Raw genomic sequence first — 24,006 nt, 5'->3', positions numbered from 1 at the left:
TCTGACAGTGAAGCCAGCACAGATGAAGCAAAGTCAAGGAGGAGAGAAGGACAGAAACTACGTCCTGGTCACATCATTTGGGCTCTAGATCCAGCCACGTCTGAAGCTCACATTACCTCACGGTTATGTGGGCCAATGATGGTTCGTTTCCTTTAAAACAGGTGATACTGTGTTCTATCGCTTACAACAGAAATGAGTCCTGATAGATTTGCATAAAACCTGACATTAAATCAGCTACTCAGCTGTAACTCAACTCCACTGTGATCTAGTTAAATACAAATTACATGTCATGTGGGATGTGGTGCATTTTAATACTTGGTATGAAGAAAGGTGGGGCCTCCAAAAATAAGAGATTTCGCATGGCCAAACTCCAAACTGTGCCGTCGGTTGTGGGATCTCAGGCTCCTGGGCCGATGTGTGAACTCCCTTGGGAGCCTGGGTCTGCTGGACAAGGAGCACTAGATTTGGAGTCAGAAAACAAACGACCTCTAACACTTCCCTTGTGTAACCTCAGGCCAGTCAGTCCCACTCTGTAAACCTCAAATTCCTCACCTACCTAATGGGAACAATGACTCCTGCATCATAGAGACACTGTAGGAGTGATGCTTATAAATGAATCTGACACACAGTAGGAGCTTGCTAGATTATTCCTGAACGGCAGCTGTTCCCGACAGGGCTGGCGTGCCTTCCTTGGATCTGATCTGGACAGGGGGTGGTGAGGAGGCAGGGTGTTAGTCTCCTCTCTGAGACAGCCGAATTGCTCGATGGGGAAGAGTGGGAAACACAAAGTTGGAAGGCCTGAATTAGCAGCACTTGAGTTTCCAACTAACATCTCCAAATTTAGGCCGGGCCCACTCCTCGTTACGGACGGATGCCCAGCCAAGCTGGAAGCCCAGCGGTCTGGCTGTGTGTGGAGACTGAGGTGCGAGTTCCAGCCTTTTGTTTGAAGTGGAAAACAGGCTGGAGCTTCCAGGAACGTTCACCTTTGAGCAGAGGGCAAGCTTGGGCCCTCCAGACAAAGTGCTGAACTTTGCAGAAAGGGACAGGCAGGGTAAGAAAACACTCTCTGGAAGATGAGATCTTTCGAGGAGGCTGCAGAACAGGCATGGGCAGACCTGGGACACACACGTGGGACCCAGAGGACAGTATGGGTGGCGTGAGCAGCGAAGGTCTACTGTGAGGAAAGCCAGGGTAAGTGTGCAAGGCAGGTGGAGAGGAGTGGTCCCTGGGCTCTGGGTACCCCATGGAAAATTCTGGAAGCTGTGTGTGCAACCTGAATCCAGGTTCTTTGCCTGGTCTCAACCAAATAGTTGGAGCAAACAGAACAAAGGCTACACCATGATGCTCCCCCATCCTAGAATACCTGCCACTGCCTGGAAAATGGCTTTCATCCCTCCAGGCTCAGCTCAAAAACTGCCTCCTCTGGGAAGCCTTCCAGGACTTCCCTTTATCTCCCTGGACAATTCTTCTTCCTCATTCAAGACTCCATTCAAGCGTCAAGCCTTAATGGGCTCACATACTCCATCTTCTGAACCCCATTTCTCCTCCCCATGCCCCAACAGAGAAATTCCATATCTGCCTGCCTCCGCATTAGCCCAAGTGCCTGCTGAGGTCAGGGCTGCTTCTCAGTTCTCTTGTTGCTGAGCACAGGTCTTAGCTCAAGACAGGGGTGCCCCGAGCATTTGGGGTTGAACGCATTTTCATTAGGATGGAAACGGTGGGATGACACATGAAAGGGGTTTCCTCCTGAAGAAAACAGACTCTCCCTCCTGGATCTGTTATAAATGTCCCAGAGACAAGCAGAAGCTATGAGAGGTCCCTCCTGAGACACACTGATTAGGGAGACAAAGCAAGCTGAGCCCTAGAAATTGTCTCGCACACTTGGTCTCCCTACTCAGTCATTAACCATTTATTGATTGCCAACTACAGGCCAAACATTGCTACTTCCATTACTGCATTTCATCCTCTTCTTCAGCTCTGCTTGGTAGAAGAAAGCAGAGCTCAGAAGCAAATCGGCCTTGCCCAGGGTCATGGAGATTCTAAGTGGCAGAGCTGGGATTTGAACCTGCCCTAGCCACTGCAGCTCACTTCTCCTCTGCCCAGTTCCAAAGAGGTCCACAAGGGGGAAAGGTGAGGAGCAGGTGCTGCCCATCAAAACATCTCGCCTCCCCCAGGCCCACATAGCCACCATTGGCACAAAGCGAGGTTTTGGATGTACAAGGAGCTACCCAGTGCCAGTCACGCGGGCTCAATGCATGTCTGGGTTTACTTAAAAGGGCTGAAGAGCTAGGCTTTGGGCTGAAATTCACGAATCTTGGGAACCAGCCCTGGGGCTATGATGATCACAAGTTCCCCTGCGTGACCTCAGGCAAAAATGGATAAGAAGCTAACAGCAGGCTACATCCGGGCTTGACGCTTGCCTCTGCTCCTGGCTACCTCTATGACCCTGCTCACCACAGCAGAGACTCCAAAAACAAAAACACCTGTGCTTGGGCCCGACCCCCGGAAACTCTGACTTAATTGGTTCAGGCAAGGCAGAAGCATCAGTATGTAGAGAGTAAGTGAATATTCCATCCCAGAACCCTGATGATGTAGCAGAATTTGATCTCTTTCCTACTACCACCTCCAACCTCTTGCTTCCCAAACTGGAGCCCTAGTCCTTCCATTTGATCTGAAGACGGAATCCTGATGACCTCATCTGGCCCCTAGATCCAGTCTTACCTGAAACTAGAACTACCCCCTGGACTGTTGGTTTTTGTTGTTGTTGTTTGCTATATAAGCCCCGTATTCCCTTTTTGCTTAAGGCATTTTAGGTTAAGTTTCAGCCATTTGCAACCAAAGCCATCTTAACAAAGATGTGCTGGTGGGCAGAGCACTCCCCTGCCCTGAAAAGGTCTGTGGCTCTATGTTGCCCCAAAAAGGACTCATCAGTGATCGCAATAGGTGGTGGCAGATGAGAAAAATACAATCTGGGTTGCGTCTCCAGAGATGGGGAAAAAAATGCCTAGCACATCATGCTAGACACTCAACAACTGTTTACAAAATGAAAGGAAGCGCCACCTCCTGGGCCAGGTGACATGGGTTCCAGAGGGTAGCAAGGAGAAGGGGGGCCGCCTGAACATGCAGGGGCTGGGGACACAGCTTTGGCATCTGATTGGTACAATGCAGCAGAAAGAGTAACTCCAGCAAGGGCCTGCAACCTCTGGAAAGCTCTGTCAAGGGCTCAATGCAGGTACCCTTGCTGTGGCCAGAGATGTGCAGGGTTGGCACACAGATGGCCCAAGGAAGCTGCCCCATTGAGCCACTCCAAAGGAGTTGGCACTGGAGCTGAGACCAGGCGTTCCCACAGGTGAAGAAGTGACCTCGTGACCTGGCTCCAAAGGGGAAAGGGACTAACACTTAGCAAGTGCCTACCTGCTTACTAAGTGCCCAGATTATCATTCCCATTTTACAGATGACGACGCTGAGGCTCAGCAAGGCCAGGGCGCTTAGACTCCCTTGGGTTGATGTGAATAATTCAGGCTGTAGCTTAAGAGTCAATCCACAGACAGCAGGAACCATGTTTCTATTTCTTTGGTGCCCCCGGAGCCCTTTGGCCAGGTACACAGAACTCAGATGAATGGATGCAGAATCCGCCCTCAGGGAGTTCCCAGTGTGACAGAGGATGCAGGCACAAAGACAAACAGTGACAACCCAGGTTAGCAGACAGGCAACAGAGGGCTGTGCGAGGGACTGTGGGGCTCCGGGGTGGGTGGGCTGACAGAGGGGTCAGGGAATGACCAGCCAGGACTCAGGGCAAGTGGACAGAGGGAAGGGCAGTCCCGGCAGAGGGCACAGCATGGACAGTGCCCGAAGGCCCCGTCCATGGAACAGCGGTGCTCAGTGCCACGCATCTGGAGCATAAGGAATCCATGTGCCCGGGGAGGCTCCCCAGGGCCTTCGGTGTCCCATAGCAAGGTGGGAGGACCCATGGATGGGTTTGGAGCTGGGTGGGGGTGGAGGGCAGGTCATGTGCCGCCCTCCAATGCCGTATGTGCTGTAGAAAGCCGAAGGTGGGCAGCGGGGAAAGGCCTGGAGATGCAGAAGCCACACGCCAGGCGGCTGGGGCAACGATTTCCGGGATGGTAGGAGGCCAGAACAGAGGCGGTGGCAGGGGTTAGGGCAGGAGGGGACACCCAGGGCCTAAGGTACGACTGGGCAGGGAGGCTGTGGAGAGGACCGCAGCCCAGGAGCCAGATTCCCGCCTCGGGGGCCAGAGAGCGAGGGGGCGCTGGGCGGGGCAGAGGTCAAGCCTGGACAGGTGGATTTGGTGGCGTCCTCGAGTCCCCCGGGTGGGCCCAGAAGACAGGAGGCTGGCAAGGGTTGGGGTCGGGCGTGGAGGCCTGGGCGGGAGCGGGGGAGGCGCCGGGGGCCGGGGCCGGGCCTCCCTCCGCTGCGCCAGGGTGCGCCGCGCCAGCTGAACCGTCACCAATATTAATGACGGGAGAGAGGGCGAGGGGGCAGGAAATCGGAGCCGGCTCCTGTGGAAGCGGTGACTCAGCGGCTCGCCCGCGGGCGGGAGGCGGCCGGCGGCGGGGTGGGGGGGCGGCCCGAGGGGACGGGGCTGCTCTTTTGACCCCCGCGCAGCCCTCCTGGGGTCAAGATGCCGGGAACAGCACGCAGACGGCGAGGGCGGGCCGCGGCGTGGGCACGGGCACTGGCGGGTGCCGCTGGCCCCTGCTGGGGGAGAAAGAAAAACGAGCCGAAAACTCAAAGCAGGTTGGGCCTGGGAGGCGGCCCAGGCGGGCAGGAGAACAAAGCGCCTGACGCGGGGCTGGGCCGCGCCGCCACAGGAAACGACCGGCCAGGCCAGGGGGACCGGCCAGGCTAGGGGGACCCGGCGCCCGCGCCCCAGTCCGTGGCCCCGGCCCCGGCCCCGACCCCCCTCGCCGGCCGGCCAGCCTCGCAACGGCGGAAAGTGAATCACTAATTAAAACCACTCCTCGGCATCCCGGAGCCGCGCTCTGCGGATTACTATTATTTTGCTCTTTGAGAAGCCTCAGTTGGTGTGGGCAGTGCGGCTGGAATCTTTTCCTTCCAAACCGGGCTTTGAATCCCGCCGAGCTGTAGTGTGGGACCTGGGACAAGTGCCCGGGCGTGGCCAAGCCTCGGCTTCCTCATCTGTGGAATGGGGATGGTAGCGGTGGCAGCCTCCTGGGATTCACTGGGAGCGTTTCAGTTCAGTGCCGGGCAGAAAGTCAGTGCTCAATTAGCGGAAGCTATTATGACAGTAATTATTAACAAAATAATGCGACAATGCCCTGGCTGGGATCTCTGGCCTGTTACATCCTCCCCAGCCTCTTGGTATGGGGGAAAGGGAGAGGGATAAGACTTGGGGGATTCAAAAAATCAAAAACATGGCTTCAGCAAGACTGAAGTCATCTCCCCCACCCCCAACAAGATGTAATGAACCGCAAATAATCAGCCAGGGCATTGCCCCCAAGCACAAGCCCATCCCCCTTAGAATCCAGGCCTACCCTCCACCCCACTCCACCTGTCCAGGCAAAACCCCCTCAACCCTGGTTGTACAAACTGCATATGGGAGTCAGTCCCTGCAGAGAGAAGGGGACAGAGAACCTGACCCTACCATAGAGCTCCTGTGGATAACACCTTCCATTGGAACACCCAGAGGAAGCCAGTTCATGACTTTTGCAAACAAGCGCACCCAGGAAACGAACAGGGGTGCTGAGAAGCAGCATCATTGGAGACTCAGATCCCCACACACGTGGGTCTCCCCAACCCGAGGGTCCCCCCAACCTGCACCCCCACTCCTGCCCCCACCCTAATTTGTTAAATGCAGCTCTCTTGCCAGTTTCAAAGTAATAAAATCTTTCTGAAATGCTAGAACCAAGAGGCCCAGCGCTGACGAGGCGGCCAGGTTCCAGAGGTCACTGCTGCAGGACGGTAAGCCCCTGGCAATTGTTAAAACGATCGATGCAGCCACAGCCCTTGGCCTGCCGGTTCCTTGCTCCCAGACGTCAGGGACATGTAGCCGGGGTGCCCCAGAGCCCCTCAAGGATTCTCCCACTACCAAGCAAGCCAGAGCTCCACACCCAACAGGAGAGACACAGCCATGGATACCTCAGCCTGGTGAGTTCAAGTGCCCGGGGAAGAGAAGTGGGGGATGGGATGGGGTGAAAGGAAGAGATTACAGTCTCTCTCTCTCTCTCCTGTCTCTCTCTCTCTCTCTCTCTCTCACACACACACACACACACACACACACACACACACACACACGGCCTGTTTTCCATTTGGGACTGACAGTGCCCTGGACACATTGTTCCAGCTCCCAGAGCTGCCAGAGGGGAACCCGAAGTTCCCGGGAATCCCAAACCATCACTCACCTTCCCCACGAGCTTGCCTTTGCGGTTCATGCACAGGTAGAATTCCGTCTCCTTGCCCTTGATCCGGACTTGACTACCGAAGGTGTCTGTCTCCACTAGGAGCTGGGCTTCGAAAGGCAGAAGGAGAACAAGACACATTTTATTACCAGGGGCAATGGCTTGGTCTAAAGGCTCAGTGACATGGTCCCTGGTCCTATCTTTGGTCCCTCACTCCCCCAAAATCAGGCATGGGGAGGCCTAACAAGTCCCACAGGACAGATGCCTAAATAACCACAGAGAAGTCAGAGAAGTAGCTGTCCCCTGCCCCTCAGGCAGGGAGATGGAAGCTGCCTATCACCTGTTCCCTTTCCTCCAGCCTCTCTTGGCTCCACTTGGGATCCAGATGGCTCCAGCCAGAAGGGAGTTCTGCCCCCTGTGGCTGAACACCAGTGTGCCCTTCTACCCATCGTCACCCACCTTCCCTAGCCCCTCAACTCTATTCCACCAAACAGGACAAAGAACCGTGCAAAAAACCCATTTCCCAAAGCAGGACAGACGGCCATACAAAAAGGCCATTCTCCCAAGCAGGACAGGCGGCCATGCAAATAACCCCATCCCCCAAACCCAAAGCAAGACAGACAATCACAAAAATAACCCCATTCCCCAAATCAGGACAGATGCCATACAAATAACCACAGAGAAGTAGCTAAGGGGACCAAGGGGACAGATAGATACAGATGCAGGCATGTGCACGCACACCTCCCCTGCCTTTCAGGACGTCAAGCTATTTCCTCCAAAAGTTAGGTCTGTGGCCCCTTCCTGCAGGGCAAACATCTGGAGCCCCTGCTAGTGCCCCCGGCACCTTTAACCTGCCTATTCATAGCAGGAAGGGCACAGGGAGTGAGGTGCGAGCTCCCTAGGAAAGGGTATGCAGGATATTCCACTGCCGTCCATGGAGGCCACCAAAGCTGAAGGGTAACTAACTCCCAGGAGCCCAGAAATCCCAATCAGGACCGGATCCCCACTGGGATTCCCCCCAGGGTGGGAGACCCCATGCTACACCATCCATGCTCCACAGAGCCTCCCTCAGGATGAGGGGTCCAGAGCTGATCCCCCAAAGCCCTGCCTGAACAAGGACATCAAGCAGGCAAAGAGTGACTGTCCCTTGATTAGGTATGCTGTGTCCAAATCTTTTCCTCTCACTCCACCAGCCCACATTTTTCTCCCCAGTACGCTGCTGCGTGACTTTGGGTAGGCCACGCGCCCTCTCTTAGCTCTCTCTCCTCTCTGGTCTTAAACCGCTGTGCCTGACTCCCCAGTACCAGCTGCTTTATTTGCCTGTGACCGCCCCACTCCCAATTCGTGCACTCTTTTCCCTGACCCCTTGCTTCCTAGCCCCTGCCCCTCCCTCACCCACAAAAGTTTAATTTCAGTGACAAGGGACTTGCTTCTCCATAACAAAAATCATAGCCCCAAATTCCTGAGTACAGTATCCTTGGAGCCACAAAGAGTATACCTCAGTGCCCCTAAAATACACTAGGTATGATTTTAATAAAAAAATTTACAAATATAGACCCTGGTGCCCTGCTGTGAAAATTAAAACCATCTGGAACTTGAGATTTCCAATAATTAATCTAGCCCTCCTTTGACACCACTACTAATTAAAATACGATACCCACCTTTCCAAGAGGGAAAAAAAGAAGAATTTACATAAAATTTAAAGATCTAACAAGAATTTAGTAACTCTAGAAACAGGGGGAGGCACATTCTTCTCTCCACCTCCCCCCAGCCCTAGTCAACACTGACTCAGGGATATTAACCAACGCTGAGATGGCGGTGGGCACAAGCCCTTGATCCTCCTTGTTCCCCTTAAGTCAAACTCCGTCATTTCCTCTGTGAGCTCCCTCCCCAGGGCCAAACATCACAGCAGCTCTGAAACTTGCTTTCTCCATCTCTTCGTAAAGATCAGGCCCCACAGGGGGTGAGGAGTTATGGGGGAATCAGGACAATTTCAGGTGCTTCTGATGAGGGGAAAAGGTGAGAGCTTTGGGGTGCACAAATCTGGATATGAATCCCTGGCCCCAACTGTATGACTGTGGCCCTCAGTTTCTTCTCCTGTAAAATGGGGGTATAATCTTCAATAGTTATTGGGAGGATTATACAAAATGATGCTGTGAAGAGCTTAGCACTCTGTTCTCAGGGAGGGAAAACTCAGTAAATGTTGTTTAAGTTTCCTACAAACTGCAAAAACCAAACTGTTTTCCCAAAAGAAAAGAAAAACGAAAATATAGTGGAAGGATATCGGATGTGTCTGCAAGGGTGGAGGAGCAGCAAAGCTTCCCTCCCCAGGTCTTGCACTATGACCTGAACTTCCCAGCATCCTTGAGGGCTGCAGACATCCCACACTGCAAAATGGACCAGAAAATGCCTGGGGCTGGGGCTCACCGGGTCTAGTTTCATTCTGGCATTGCCGTCCTAGGCTATGTGACCTTGAGTAAGCCATACCCCACTCTGAGCCTCAGTTTCCCTACCTGTGCAAGGGGGAGGGGCTCGACCCTACTCTCCTTCTCCTTGGGATTAGGAAGTGGGGTCTAGCAGAGGGGCAGGGATGGGAGATGCAGGAAGTAGGTAAAGCCACTGAGCTGGGGCCCAGACAACCCCAAGTAGGCCCAAGGGAGAGACTCCCTCTTGGCCCTTCCCAGCACACGCCTGGACCTCTGTCCTCAGAACAGTTCCTGCTATGCTCCCCTTACAGTGCACTGAAGCCATCCATCCTGAGATTGGGTGTCTTTGTCCCCATTTTACAGTGTAGGAAACTTAGGTTCAGAGCAGCACCCAGTAACAGGGACTGACCTCAGGACTGCCTGCCTCTTTCTACTGGGGCCTGGGCTCCAGGGGAGAGGCCCCCAGGTCTGGAGGGACAGGCCTCCCAGCACAACCCCCACCCCTCACCAGCCAGGGCCACCGCAGGAAGCCCTGGCCTTTGCCTGAGCTGTCCAAAGGGCCTGGGGCAGAGGTTGCACCTCCACCCACCACAAGCCTAGCCACCCCCACCCCAGCATGGGGAGGGTCTGCGCCTGGCCGTCACGCCAGGGGAGCCAGAAGTCTGTTCTCTCCCCGACCGCAGCATGCGATGGAGTGACCTAGACTCCACTCAGCACATGACATCATGAGGAGGGAGCCGGGCCAGAATTATGTAAAGTCTTTGGGGAGTAATAGCAGCAGCAGTTCTCAGAGAAAGAGAGAGAGGGAGAGAGAAAATGAGACAGAGAGAGAGAGACAGGAGAAGGAGAAGAGAGAGACACCACCCAGGCCAGGTCCTCAGCATCACGCATCCACTCCCATGACCCAAGCCCCCAGGATGCTGCTCTCAAGAGCTGGAAACCTCATCCGGGCTCAGGCACAGCTCCATTTGTGGGGCCTGCACCAGGCCAGGCGGAGGAGTTGATGACATTATCTCACCCTGCTCATCAGACTTCCTCACTGCCCTGGCCGGGCCACCGTCCCCTCCAGCCTGCACAACTCAACAGCCCCTTCCCCTTGCCACTCTCACCCCCATCCATCTCTCCTCTACACCACAGCCAGAGAAATCCTTTAAAAATATAAATTTGCCAGGCGCTGTGGCTCATGCCTGTAATCCTAGCACTTTGGGAGGCCAAGGCGGGTGGATCACCTGAGGTCAGGAGTTCGACACCAGCCTGGCCAACATGATGAAACCCCATCTCTACTAAAAAAAAAAACCACAAAAATTAGCCGGGCATTGTGGCGCACACCTGTAGTCCCAGCTACTCAGAAGGCTGAGGCAGGAGAATCACTTGAACCCAGGAGGCAGAGTTTGCAGTGAGCCGAGATCATGCCACTGCACTCCAGCCTGGGCGAAAGAGTGAGACTCCATCTCAAAACATACAACAAAAAATATATAAATTTAGTTGTGTCCCTTCTCTGCTAAAGACCTCCTAGGGATCCCCAACCCACATAGAAGAACATGTAAACTCTTCAATGGGACCCGCAAAGGGCACACAGCCTGGACCCTGTGGACCAGCCCTGCCTCCCTTCCTTGCCTCTCCCCTCTAGCACACCAAGCACGCTCCCACCACAGGGCTTTTGCACATGTCGTTCCTCTGCCTGGAGGCTGCTTTGCCCAGAGCTTCCAGAGTGGCTCCTCATCTCCTAGGTTGTGGTGCAAATATTGCCCCTCAGAGAGGCCTTCCCAGACCATGATGTCTAATGCTGGCAGCACCCTCCCCAGTCCAGCCCTACCCCATTCCCCTGCTCCATTTTCCTGAGAGCTCTTCTCCGAAACTCTTATTTTTATTGTCGGTCTCCACCCAGCAGAAAGTAAGCTCCACGAGGACAAGAACCTATCTGTCTTATCACCACTCTGACTTCCAGCGCCTATCCCACGCCCGGCTCAGAGTGAGCGACCAGTAAGCCAGTTTTAATAAGCTCATCAACAGCCTTGTGGTGTGGAGATGACTAACACCATTCACTGGCTAATGAAAATGAAATTCAGGGAGGTGAAGTGGCTTGCCTGAGTCACATGGCTGGGAAGAGCAGGGTAAGGTCTGAGTCCAGCGTCTGATTCCATGGTCAGTGCCCTTCACCACTGTGCGCCTTCCTGGTGCGACTCTCGGTGCCACTTGCAAGAACCATGGGCTCCCACCCACCCATCCCCAGCCTCAGTGACACAGCGAAAGACCTTTTCCCTTCTGGGCCAGATCTAGGTAACCTCTGAGGCCTCTTTCAGTTCTGCCCCTATGGAAAGTATCAGTAACTGACATTTCTTTAGAGCTTATGATGTGCTGGGCATTGTCCTAACTACCTTACATGCATTATCTCATTTAATTCTTACCACCATCCCAGGAGGTTAGAACTATTGTTATTATCCCCAATTTACAGGTGAGAAAACCGAGTCCCACAGTCACACAGTGATGGAGCTGAGATCCAAGCCCAGGCAGTCTGACCCAGAAGTCTTGGGCTTTGCCTGTCTACCCCACCCCTCACTTCTCAGAGGCCCCAGTCCCTTTCCTGGGGAGCGAGTGAGTGAACAGCGAAGGAGGCAGGGGAGGTCTTCTCTTTGACCCCACTTTCTTTGGGCAGAAGTTAGTGGATGGGGATGTCCACCTTCCCTCAGCTCCACTTCCAAATGACTTTGAGGAAGGAGGGAGTCCCCAGGGTCACCCTGAGAAAGATACCTTTGATACCGGGAGATGGGAAACCCTCAGGACCACCCAGGGCTGGGCTGCGACCACAGCCAGAGAGAGGCAAAGAAGGTTTCAGATCTGATGAAGAGGAGAAAAGGCTGCATGAAACAAGAGGAGGAATACAAAATGGGAAGCTCCAGGCCACAGCTGCCCCGGAAGGAAGGCCCACAGAGCCTGTCTCCCCAGGGCTCCGCACAGAGCAGGAGCCCAGAGGCCACCCAGGGCTGGGGCCAAGGAGAGTGGCAGAAAGAAAAATGGCTCAAAGGATCTGCTCCCTTCTCCGGCATCCAGAAAGGAGAGCAGCAAAGGGGGAAAGAGTGCAGGAAGGGAGCTGGAGACAAAACTCTTTCTACAAAAAACTCATGTTGTCTCTCCCCACTTTAATGCCTGCAGCAAAAATGACTAAAGAATGATGATAACAGGCCAGGCGCGGTGGCTCACGCCTGTAATCCCAGCACTTTGGGAGGCCAAGGTGGGTGGATCACAAGATCAGGAATCGAGACCATCCTGGCTAACACGGTGAAACCCTGTCTCTGCTAAAAAAAAAAAAAAAAAAAAAAAAAAAAAAATGATGATAACAGTGAATACTTATCTGAGCATATACCATGTGTCAAGCAATGTTAAGATGTTAAGAGTGTGAACGTGGGGCCGGGCACTCATGCCCGTAACCCCAGCACTTTGGGAGGCCAAGGTGGGCACATCACCTGAGGTCAGGAGTTCGAGAGCAGCCTGACCGACGTGGTGAAACCCTGTCTCTAATAAAAATAAAAAAAATTAGCTGGGTGTGGTGGCACATGCCTGTAATCCCAGCTACTTGGGAGGCTGAGGCAGGAGAATCACTTGAACCTTGGAGGCAGAGGTTGCAATGAGCCGAGATTGCACCACTGCACTCCAGCCTGGGCTATAGGGCGAGACTCCATCTAAAAAAAAAAAAAGTGTGTGAATGTGGAATATCTCATTTGACCATCACAACAGCCCTATGAGGTAGGAACTATTATGCCATTTTACAGATGAAGAAACTGAATCAGTGTAAGTTAATAGAGCAGTTAAATTGCTTGACCAGAGTCTCACAGTAGGACCAGGATTTGAACACAGGCAGAGCAAGGCCAGAGCCAGTTTGAGACAGATGGAGATTCAGACCAAGGTACGCAGGCAGACAGAGGACAGACCTTACGCAGGCTGGTGATGACAGAAAAGGGAAGTGGCATTGACTGACTGATTGATTGGTTGACTAATCCCAGTGTGCTTCCCCAGCCGGGTTTCCCAGAGGGTGATCCGGGGCCTCGCTGTGAAGACTTTGGGTTTGAAGGGTGGGAAACAGCAGGGAAAGACTCAGAGAGGCAGCCAGAGGCCTGGAGAGAGACACAGCACAGAGACAGAGTTGAATCCCACAGATGCAGGGGACAAGACCCAAAGAGGCAGAACCCAAGAGAACAAAGCTGGAGGGTGGGTTTGTTTTCCCCAAGCCTGGGGTAAAGTCCCCAAGACCCGCAAGAGCAGCAGGGGAGCTGGGAGCCAGGGAGGGGCTGGGCCTCCGATCTGGGGCCCTGCGAGGGCTGGACGGTAGCTGGCCAGCCGCAAAGATCCCAGTGCTGACAGAGCTGCTGGCTGCTCTCCAGGCGTCTTCCCCCAGTGAAGAACCATCCTCACTACAGACAGCACTGAGAGGTCACACCGAGTCAGCCCTCCCTCCTTCCCCACTGAAGGCAGACCAGATCTTGAGAGGGGGAGAGAGAGGTGGCAATGGAGGAGAAGGTATCCTTTCTGGAGACGCTTCCCTGTCACTGTAACACACACACCCAGGCACACACACACACTCTGCTGTATATGGTCTTTTCTCAAAGACCTTTCTCCATATGGACACACCAGAAAGTTGGGGGGAAAAACCAATAGGGTTCATCGGGAGCTCTGTTTAACCCTAGCTGTAGCTCTAGCATAGCCGTGTCAGTCAAGGGGTTGGTGAGGTGTGGGTGGTCACTCCTCCCTGGGGACAGAAGTTGTGGGACATGAGCTCAGAGGGGCAGGGGTTTAGGTGGAGATAGGAAGTTCCATTCCCAGCTGGGAGACCTGCTGGGGGAAGCTGGGTCTGATGATCACCCTATCCCCACTGCACAGTGCAAGCCTGGCCGGATAGAAAGGAAGGGTGGTGGGAAAGGAGGGAGGGAACACTGATTTGCCAAGTACCTACTGTGCACTGAGATCTGTGCCAAACAGAAGGAAGCCTCTTTGCCTCAATGCGCCAGGGGGAAGGACACCTGCCACATACCCTGACACACACAGGGCATCACCCATACATTCACTTGCTCAAGCATATACTGAGAGCGTCTTCGTGGTTGGCCCTGTGTACTGGGGATGCAACAGTGAGCAAAACAGACAAAACCTCCACCCTCCAGAAGTTTACACTCTAACACGGGAGACAGATAGTGGGTAACTAAATATATAACAGCAGGTCGGATAGCGACAAGTGCTAGGAAGGGTGGACAGAGCTGGGGACTCTCTGATAAGGAGACAATCGTACAGAAGCCTGGGTGGGTGAGGGAGCGGGCCATGGGGATATCTGGGAGAAGAGCATTCTCAGGACAGCAAATGCAAAGGCCCGCAGACGGACAGTGCTTGGGTGTTCACGGGATGCCCGGAAGGCTGCTGTGGCTGTGGCCATGTAAGCAAGGAGCAGAGGCAGAGCCTGAGGCTGCAGCAGGATCAGGAGCCAGGCACGCCAGGCCTGCAGGCCGATTCAAGGACATGAGTTTTACTCTAAGTGAGATGAGCACCTCTGAGCTGTGCAGGAACATGCTCACATTTTGGGATGCGTGTGGAAAATGGACCGTGGGGGCTCAACTCTGAGACTAGGGGTCCCTGCTACGTCAGCCACTCAACCAGCCCAAAGGACCTCTGGCAACTACCAGAAGGAGGGAAATGGGGACGAGAGGACTCCCTCCCAGCTCCACCACCAACTCAGCAATAGCCCTGAAGCCCCGACCTTCCTCCCTGTGTGAGCCACTGACGGCAGCCCCCGGTTACACTTTGAGTTGCCCTGTACATATTTTATGCATCCTTCTAGCCACATTTAAAGGGGCCCTGCTCTCTGCCAGGCCTTGTGCTGGACATGGAGACATGGCAAAGAGCAAGACAAAGTCACTCCCTCCAAGGAGCTCACACTCTCGCAGGGGCACCAGCCACGTCAACAGATGGTTCCACCGCAGCAGGACCCTTGTTGGGACAAGGGCAAGCACAGGGGCTCTGGGGCTCTGTACCCAGCCTGGGGGCTCAGAGAAGCATCTGCACTGGGGCGTGCTGACTCCCTGTAAAGCTGGAATCACAGACTAACCCCATGCCTGAGCTGGAGGAAGCTGCAAAGTACCAGCTGCACACCCTTTACCCCACCCACATTACAGGTGGGGAAACCGAGGCTCAGGGAGAGAATGGGTGGGCTCACAGTCACGTGGGAAGTTCACAGCCTAGGTTCTTCCTACTCAAAGTCAGCCTCTAGTAAGGAATGGGGGCCCTAGACTGAAGGCTCTTTGATGGCTGGGACGAGGCATGTCACTCACCACAGTAGCCCCCTCCCCTGGTGCTTGGGCTTGGTAATTTACGTTGAATGAATAAGGGACTGAGGGGAGACACACGCAATCAGGGGAGCCAAAGGCCCTCCTCCCTCACTGGGGCAGAGACCTTGCTGCTGGGAATCACGGGAGGACGACTCTTCTACCTGCATCTAACCTGCCAGGTCCCACTGACAGCAGACAGGAGTACCGCTTCTTCCCTCAGGTCCTTTCTGGAAGCCTCTGGAGCCAGTACCTGATGGCAGTTCCTCACCTGAGCCCGCGATGGCACCACCCCCCCCCACACACCCATAGTAAGGAGGTCAGGTGGTGATTATTAGTACTGGTTTAATGATCATATAATCTTTGGGCATAAGATTCTCTCATTTCAATTTCCCTGTTTGTAGAAGAGGAAACAGGATCAGAAAGGCTAACTCAGATCCACGGTCTCCCACTCGAAAGTGGTGGAGCCGAGATTCAAATCCCATTAGATTCCTGAGCTGACAAGCTCAATCCTCCAAATACCATCTCCCTGGCTAGCAGGGCCACTCTAGCTGGCCTGCCCAGGGTTATTCTGGGCACTGTCAGTCTGGAGGCTGGCCTACCGCAAAATGGGGTTTTTTAATCATTTTTTTTTCTCAAACAGAGAAATCTTTTTTTCAAATAAAATCAGGCAGGAATATCCAATCATAAGGTTTCCTAAACTTTAAAAGCAGAGTTGCCCCGGAAACCCCCCGATGCTAGAGTCTCCCTGCGTGTGGGCTCAGCTGGCCCCCTCTCCTTCTGAGGAGTTGGTGCCTTCCCCATCTCGTCACATCCCAGGCTTAGGGACATCCACCTCAAGGGCAGGTGGAGGAGGCCTTCTCCTCCCCACTTGGCAGATAAAGAAGCTAAGCCCAGACATGGAGGCTCTTCCCCAGCCCTGCAAGATGCTCCCTGGCAGAGCTGCAGCTGGAACTCAGTGTCCTGCTTCCTGTTCCAGTGCTGTTCTATGACATGGCAACTGCCTGCAGGACAGAGTGTCCAGCACCAACGGCAAGAAGAGGGGAGGCTGATATTATCCCAGGTGGGCAGGGTGCCCCTCCCCCACAACCTCCCACCTGCCAGGTATTCAACTACCTAAGCCTCCAGCCCTCTGGCCAGCTGTGCTCTCCCTCCAGAACCCAAGGCAAGGCTAAGAAAGTCCCTTATTCCTGGAGCGGCCCACTCTCAGAACCCCTAAAGCTTTTCAGTACTGGGAGAGCTTTAGAGGGCCACCGGGAGACCCTCTTGCAGAATACCAAGGTGCAGAAGCCCCACTGACATCCAAGCAGATTTCACTAAGGGACCACCCACTACTGCGCAGCAGGCCAAGAGCCCTGGGCAGGGCACCCAGCCCCTCGTGCCCACCCACAGAGCCAGCACCTCAGGATTCTGGCCTTTACAGAGGCAAATCTGAGGTTCTGAGTGTCCGTGGGGATTCCAGATTCCAGGTGTTTACGGGGATGTATCCATGGTGTTTGCTGAGACTCTGAGACTGCATGTTATAAAATCTTACGATTCTGACAAAGTGTGTGGTACATCTCAGATTGCATCATTCTCAGTGGGAGCAGGTTCCTGAACTGTCCTGGGTGCTCTGGCAGCCCCTCCCCCTGAGACAAGGCAGGCCCCTAATGCAGATCAGCAGAGCAGGCCCATCCTCCTGCCCTGGCTTGGCCACATAAATCACCCTCCCAATAATATTTGTATTGATTATCTAGATTGGAAGCCTCAATTGGCTCCATTGTCTCACTTCCTCTCCCCGGGCTCACAGATGGGGTCCCTTGGCCTCATCTGTGTTTCTAATGTGGCATTTAAATGGAGCAGCAGCAGCCAGCAAGGCCCTGCACTGCCCTGGGTGTCGGGGGGTCGGAGGAGTACAGAAACATATTCCTTGAGAGAGGATCATAAAATCTTAGAAAGCGTGGTGCTGGCAGAGAAGCCAAGAAGGCCTAGTCCCCAGGTACTGGAAGTGCTGCCCACTGGCCCCGCCCAGGCACTTGTCAGATGCAGCAGCTCAGGCCTCGCCCCCGAGACCCACTGAACCAACATGGGCATTTGGACAGGATCCCTCCGTGGTCACACCCATGTTACACTTAAGAAGCATGGCCGGGCGCGGCCATGCTCACACCTGTAATCCCAGCACTTTGGGAGGCCAAGGCGGGTGGATCACCTGAGGTCAAGAGTTCAAGACCACCCTGGCCAACATGGCGAAACCCCGTCTCTATTAAAAATACAAAAATTAGCCAGGCGTGGTGGTGGGCGCCTGTAATCCCAGCTTCTCGGGAGGCTGAGGCAGGAGAATCGCTTGAACCCAGGAGGCAGAGGTTGCAGTGAGCCGAGATCATGCCACTGCACCACTCCAGCCTGGGCAACAGAGCAAGACACTGTCTCAAAAAAAAAAAAAAAAAGAAAAGAAAAAGAAGAAGCACTGCGTTAGCCCAACCATTGTGCAGAGGAGAAACCAAGGCCCAGAGAAGGCAAAGTGCTTGTCTGAGGTCACACAGCAGGAAAGATTCCCTGAGTTCCCAGTTCAGGCAGAGGGAATGAGAGGGCAAGTGACTTCTGGGGTGAGGGGCCGGCCATTTCCAGGCTCCCCTCCCTCTCGAGCTCCCGCCTCCTGTCTCAGGGCGTGGACAGATGGTTCAGACCAGAGTCTGACCCCCCTGTACTCTCCCAGCCTGGAGGGGCCAATGAGAGCTCTGGGACTCCCCAGAAGGGCACCTCCTCCTGCCACGGCCAGCCAGCTGCCCCTTCTGGCAGCCACTGGACAGCAGATCCGAGGGAAAACCACCACCTGGGTCAGCCTAGCACAGCCAGGCGTCTGTGGAGGGGGCCACGAGGGATGGGAGGCCCCATAGAGGCAGCCAGCAGAGGGCCTGGGAGAGGTGGGGAGGAGGGAAGCTGTGGTCCGAAGGAGGGAGACAGAGCTGGTGGGGAGGGGGACAGAGAGGTGGACAAAAACAAAACGGGGAACGGGGAAAAGCTGCGAAAGGAAGAAGGGGAAAGAGAGTGGGAGGGGAACGGAGGCGGTAAAGAGTGATGCCTGGGAGAAGGGAGGCAGCTGGCCCGGAGGTGCACAAGCCCAGCATGGCTCAGCCCTGCCCAGCCTGGCCTGGCCTGGCCCAGCCCCCAGTGACGGTGCAGCTGCCACGCTTGGGCCCTACCATGAGGTCAGTCCTGCCCCGGGGCTGAGGGAAAATAAATGGTGTCCAAGATAAAAGGTCCAAGAAATTATTTGTCTTGTTGTCACGTCCTGACTGCAACGGGCAGGGTTGGCAGGCAGGCGGGGCATCGTCCCAAAAACGCTCAGGCTGGCAGGTTTGGCCCCACACACAGGACCACGGCCCCAGATCCCCAGGCCCAAGGCTGGGGCCTGGGCCATCTCCTAGAACCTGGGCCTGAGAAGGCAGGAATGGGTGGGGGCAGGTGCTTTCCCAGTGAGTGGCAAGGACCAGGAGGCCTCGCAGCAGTCTCCGCTTTTCCGGCCTGGCAATTTTAAATAAATAATCTGCGTGGTATTTGCTCAGTGTCTGTCTAGGCCAGAGGCCCTCCAAGCTCTGGGAAGGCGGAGCGCTGCCTGTTTCACTCACTGCTGAGCACCTTTGTGGACCAGGGGCTTGGGATGTCTCACTCCTCCCAGCCATTGCAGAGGCAGCATAGGCAGGGGAGCGGGGTGAGTTCCCAAGTACTCCAGGAGGGTTGGGCAGTTCCAGGGTCAAGGGCAGGTCAACAGGACCATGGCCCAAGGTGTTAATGAGTGCCACATATCACAGGTGCACAGGCTCAAGCTCAAAGCACCCATATGCACACGCGCACATAACACACACACTAGGCTGATTTTCACCACCAGCAGCTTCCTAAAAGCATCACCTCGAGGCTCCTGCCCCTTGAAGTGGCTGAACCTGGGGCTGGTGAGTGGTGGCATGGGAACAGCCACCTGCTTTAGGCCATCCCAGGCAAGCCACTGATACCACAGCAAATGCGACTTATGGGGCATTTACCGGCCAAAGAACTTTTCATTCACATCTTCAGTTAGTACTCCTGACAATGCTCTCAAGGATTCACTATTGCATCCCCATTTTATAGATCAGGAAACAGACCCAGAAAGGGTCAGTGCCAGGTCCAAGATCACACAGCCAGGAGCAGCAAGGCTGGCATTTGAACTTGAGGTCTCTGAGGCCAGGAAGGACATGTACACGGGTACACGGAGTAGGAGGAGAGGGTTGGCACATACCATACTTGTCCCCATCCTCGCCGCGGGCACTGATCCTGCGGCCCAGGACCTGGATGTGTTTCCCACTGGTCCGGCTGTAGAGCTGGTACAGCCGCAGCTGCTTACGGCTCACATCGTCCCGAGCCCGCGTCTGGTTCTCCACGTGGATGCGGAAGTCCACGTTCTCCTCGGCAACCAGCACCTGGGCAGGGAAAAGGACACAGTAAGCCACCCCAGATGTCCCAGGCCCACTGCATGCAGGAGCCAGCCACGTCCACCACAAAGACCAAGGGCTTCTCTACACCGGCTCTGAGCCAGGCCGTGGCACACACTGATAACCACCCCCTCACTACCCCCATTCAAAGACAAGGCAACCGGGGCTCTGAGAGGCGAGGCAAGTTGCCCAAGGTGGCCCAGCCAGAAAGTGGCAAAGCTAAGAATCAGGCCTAGGTCTATGCGACAACAAAGCTTCTCTTTCCACCACAGCCACATATTAAAGCAAGAACGATTCTCGGTAAAATGGTGGGGCAGAGCTCCTACCCTGATTCCATCCCAGGGTAGCTGTGAGGACTAAGTGAGCAAACGGGAAGAAAAGTACTCCAATCCACGTGGAGATGGGTGAGGAACGAGAGGGGATGGAACGCTGGGTCCATGGGGAAAGAAGGAGGCCTGGAAAGCCTCATCCAGGGAACCAACAGGCCAAGTCCGCTGTGACTTCTCCCCCTGCAGCTGATGCTGGGGTCTCCTCCCCACACCCCAAGTGTCCTCATGCTGGCTCCCACACCAAGCATTTGCCCACATCCTGAGCTCCTCTAGGAGAAGCCTTTGTTTTGCATCTGCCACCAAAACTTCAGTTCCCTTGAGGCTTAGCTTGTGCCTGTCCACATCCTCCAGGAAGCCTTCCCTGGTTATACCAACACATATCGTGCTCATCTTCCTTCCCTTCTCATTGGGACAACTTGCACCTGCCTCCTCACTGGCCTTCTGCTTCCACTCTCGCCCCCTGGTAGTCTCTCTTCTACCAAACCCAATCCCCTCTCCACACTCTCCGGGGCTTCCCATCACACTTCAGTGAAGGATTCCTCCAAGGCCTCAAGGCCCTACAAGGTGAGCCCCTGACTGCTTTCCCACCTTCCTCTCCCACCACTCCCTCCCCACCAGCCACGCTGGCCACTGGCCACCTTGGCATGGCTCTGGGCATTCCAAAATCAAAACACACTCCTGCCCCAGGGCCTTTGCACTTCTTCTTCCCTCTGCTTTGATGCTCTTTCTCAGATCCTTACATTCTAACCCCTTGAGCTCACTCGGGTCTCTGCTCAAATGTCACCTCCTCAAGCAGGCCTTCCTGGACCCCTTTCTGAAGCCACCTCCAGCTCTGACACTCTCCCTCCCCTCAACCATGCTTTGCGCTTCTTTCCAGCACTTATCTGGGTTTTGTCTTTTGGCCCCAGTAGACTGGCAGCACCATCAAAAAAAAAAAAAAAAGGGAGAGAAAGCTGGAGCAGTGTCTCTCATTTGCCACTATATCCGCAGCACCTAACACGGTAGAAACTCAAACGCTTCTTGAATGGATACATAAACAAATGTTGAAAAGACCTGGAGTCCTGCTGTGCCATTTACCATTGGAGCAGGGTCCCCTACACCCTGCTGGTTGTATGCATGTCCTATCCCATGTCAACCACAAGGCTGAGCCATTCCTGAAGCCCAGACAGCATTCTGGGTTTGTTCCCTGTGTGCCCACAAAGTCTATCACAATGCTAGGCACAAGGGACCCCCATTCCCACGCTGGCACGCCCCCACTCAGCCCATGGCAGAGCTCTTGGGACCCTGGCTGCCCAAACATCTGTCTCACCTCTCAGCTGTGAGCTCCCAAGGGCAGGGATGTGTTTCCTTCATTTGCTACAGCAGGATCTCTGTCCCCAAGCTGACCTGCATGTATCTCCCGATCCTGGACTGGGCCCACAGGTATGTCAGCAGGACCACATTGTTGAACCTTCATGATTGTCCTCAGGGTGGAAGCATCATCCCACATTATGGATGAGGAAACTGTCAGCTCCACTGACAAGGCCCCAGAGCAGTAATGCAGAATTAACCCCAGGCCTTGTGACCCTAAAGACTGTGTTTCCTGTGCCCCACCCCTGCGGGCAGCCCCAGGCCACTGCCTTGCGGGGCCCTGCCTGCCCCACCAGTGCTGTCAGGAGCTGGCCCTGGGTTCAAAACCCAGGATGTGCCACTCTCTAGCTAAGGGACCTTATGCAAGTTATTAAACTCTAGTGCCTGTTTCCTCACCTATAAAATAGGGTGATGATAACAGCACCCTCCTCATGAGTGGCTGCAAAGGTTAAACATATAAAGCAATATATTAAGTGCTCAGAGCAGTGCCTGGCTCAGTAGGGGTAACTAGTGATAGAACACAAGGGAACCCTTTATGGGGCCCTAGGTGAAGCCCTGCAAACCAGATTTATATCTGGGAAGATGCTATTGCTTTTGATAGTCCTGACAACCTTGCACCATGAGAACGCTTATCACCCTCATTGAATGGATGGAGACACTAAGGCCCAGAAAAGTTAAGTCCATTGCTCCAAACCACACAGCCCAGTGAGGCAGGGCCTGGCCTGCTGGCCCACCATGTGTGCCTCCTCTTCACTTCCCCCAGCCCTCAGCAGCCACACACAGTCACCACTCACAGCCCGGGTCTGATACCTGGGTCCCGCCTCCTTCCACATCCTGCTGCTCAGGGACAGAAGAACTCCAGTGCTCCTGAGGCCCACACCTGGTGGGCATTTGTCCGGAAGACTCCCCACCCATGGCCTTTGACCTTCCTGGAATGACTTCCGGAGGTGGCTGGCCCTGTCCCCTCCCCCAAGGGCAGGCCTCTGGCGTCCCCTCCCTGTCCTTCTACTCTCCTCCTGCTCACAGGAGACCTTATCGACCAGAGGTCAAACCAATCTCCTTCCCCCAGGTCCCCAAGGGGAGCTGCCCTGCCCCAGAAGCCGGCCTCCCATTAATGATTTTCTCCCTGGCCCACTGGACAGAGGCAGTGTGGGTGACCCAGGGTCAGCAGGGGCTATCGGGTGGCACTTCCCCAGGATGCGGGAGGGAACAATCCATCTTGCCCAGCTCCCACCATTGAAGCCCCATTCTGTGGCCAGATCAGCCCCCAGGGAGGTGGCGGGGGTGGCCTCTGGTGGCCTCTGGCTCGGAAACAAGGTCTGTTCTCCTGGAAAGGCAGGAAGCACCCCGGGCTTCCCAGGCAAGACCTCTGGAGGGTGTGACACGTCCTACCCCGAAGCCTTTCCTAGCCCCACCTCCCAGGCTGGGTGAGGGCCCCCGAACACTCTACTGCAATGGCTTATTGTCCCAAGTCCAGTGTGACTGGTTCATCCCTGAATCTCACCTCTGCCCTCAGAAGGCAACCAGCAAACGCATGCCAAAAGGCGGCGGCCAAAAGTGAGGGAAATCTGGAGGCCAACATCAGCCCTCCCACTTACCAACCAGAGTGCCCCACAGAGGGATGTGTTAAGGCAACTGACTACCCAGCATTCCCCTGTTCCAGACACTCTGCTAAGAAGACCCCTAGGCTGGTCGCAGTGGCTCAGCACTTTGGAAGGCCGAGGTGGGCGGATCGCTTGAGGCCAGGAGTTCAAGACCAGCTTGAGGCCAGGAGTTCAAGACCATCTTAACATACTGAAACCCTGTCTCTACTGAAAATACAAAAATTAGCCAGGTGTGGTGGTGCATGCCTGTAATCCCAGCTACTCAGGAGGCTGAGGCCGGAGAATCACTTGAAACTGGGAGGCAGAGGTTGCCATGAGCCGAGATTGCACCACTGCACTCCAGCCTGGGTGATAGAGTGAGAATCTGTCTGAAATAAATAAATAAATGAATAAATAAGTAAATATAATTTTTATAAAAAAGAAGAAGAAGAAGAAGAAAATGACCCCCAGACATGGCACCTCAGCGACCCGTGGAGGTGAGCACCAGTTAAAGCCCATTTCAAGGTCTGCTGCCAGAGCACATGCATAGCGGGGCTGCCTCGGGAACATCCACTTCTCCTGTCCTACTAGCTGCGTGGCAGGTCACTTGGCTCGGTGCCCTGCAAGGGGGGCCTATCTTCAAGGTCTTCCCAGAACAGTCAATTTTGCTGTCGGCCTGGCTAACACCCCTCCAGGCATCCAATGATCAGGGGTGTTGAAAAGCTGCGGTTTGAAGAAAATCAAATTGCTGCAACTCTTTTTTCTTTTTTGAGACTGAGTCTCACTCTGTCACCCAGACTGGAGTGCAGTGGCGCGATCTCGGCTCACTGCAACCTCCGCCTCCCCGGTTCAAGTGATTCTCGTGCCTCAGCCTCCCCGAGTAGCTGGGATTACAGGTGCCCACCACCACACCGGCTAATTTTTGTATTTTTGGTAGAGACAGGGTTGGCCAGGCTGGTCTTGAACTCCTGACCTCAGGTGATCTGCCCACCTCGGCCTCCCAAAGTGCTGGGATTACAGGTGTGAGCCACCGCGCCCAGTCTGCTGCAACTCTCGAAAGGAGAGAAGGGTTGGTGCATAAAGGAAGTCTTCTACGGAAACAAGGTGCCTTTTGTCACTCCACCTTTCCTGCCACGCCATGCACATGGATTATCTTTTGGGTGGAAGCAGCTTTTCTCACAGCATGGT

General features: G+C 54.7%; 1 protein-coding gene across 1 annotated transcript in view, besides 5 other annotated features; it reads right to left on the bottom strand.

Moving 5' to 3' along the window:
- The window catches only part of FGF18 (fibroblast growth factor 18), a 37,980-nt gene that overhangs the window by 1,990 nt on the left and 11,984 nt on the right, over nt 1-24,006 (bottom strand). Inside the window, exons 3-4 of the mRNA NM_003862.3 lie at nt 19,364-19,544; nt 6,384-6,490 (exon numbers count right to left, since the gene is read on the bottom strand). Of these exons, the coding sequence (NP_003853.1) occupies nt 6,384-6,490; nt 19,364-19,544 (288 nt within the window). The remainder of the gene's footprint in view (nt 1-6,383; nt 6,491-19,363; nt 19,545-24,006) is intronic.
- Nucleotides 937-1,438: an enhancer, noted in NCBI's record as "H3K4me1 hESC enhancer chr5:170881203-170881704 (GRCh37/hg19 assembly coordinates)". NCBI's record gives its function as "activates a minimal SCP1, AML or CMV promoter by ChIP-STARR-seq in primed H9 embryonic stem cells {active_cell/tissue: H9 hESC(primed)}" and the evidence as "EXISTENCE:reporter gene assay evidence [ECO:0000049][PMID:30033119]".
- Nucleotides 4,103-4,674: an enhancer, noted in NCBI's record as "H3K4me1 hESC enhancer chr5:170877967-170878538 (GRCh37/hg19 assembly coordinates)". NCBI's record gives its function as "activates a minimal SCP1, AML or CMV promoter by ChIP-STARR-seq in naive H9 embryonic stem cells {active_cell/tissue: H9 hESC(naive)}" and the evidence as "EXISTENCE:reporter gene assay evidence [ECO:0000049][PMID:30033119]".
- Nucleotides 9,419-9,985: an enhancer, noted in NCBI's record as "H3K4me1 hESC enhancer chr5:170872656-170873222 (GRCh37/hg19 assembly coordinates)". NCBI's record gives its function as "activates a minimal SCP1, AML or CMV promoter by ChIP-STARR-seq in primed H9 embryonic stem cells {active_cell/tissue: H9 hESC(primed)}" and the evidence as "EXISTENCE:reporter gene assay evidence [ECO:0000049][PMID:30033119]".
- Nucleotides 17,943-18,451: an enhancer, noted in NCBI's record as "H3K4me1 hESC enhancer chr5:170864190-170864698 (GRCh37/hg19 assembly coordinates)". NCBI's record gives its function as "activates a minimal SCP1, AML or CMV promoter by ChIP-STARR-seq in naive H9 embryonic stem cells {active_cell/tissue: H9 hESC(naive)}" and the evidence as "EXISTENCE:reporter gene assay evidence [ECO:0000049][PMID:30033119]".
- Nucleotides 20,863-21,398: an enhancer, noted in NCBI's record as "H3K4me1 hESC enhancer chr5:170861243-170861778 (GRCh37/hg19 assembly coordinates)". NCBI's record gives its function as "activates a minimal SCP1, AML or CMV promoter by ChIP-STARR-seq in primed H9 embryonic stem cells {active_cell/tissue: H9 hESC(primed)}" and the evidence as "EXISTENCE:reporter gene assay evidence [ECO:0000049][PMID:30033119]".

Source organism: Homo sapiens, chromosome 5 (assembly GCF_000001405.40).
Source record: "Homo sapiens chromosome 5, GRCh38.p14 Primary Assembly".
Lineage (NCBI taxonomy): Eukaryota > Metazoa > Chordata > Mammalia > Primates > Hominidae > Homo > Homo sapiens.
The sequence above is the reverse complement of the archived record's forward strand: the minus strand, read 5'-3'. Positions and strand labels throughout refer to the sequence as shown.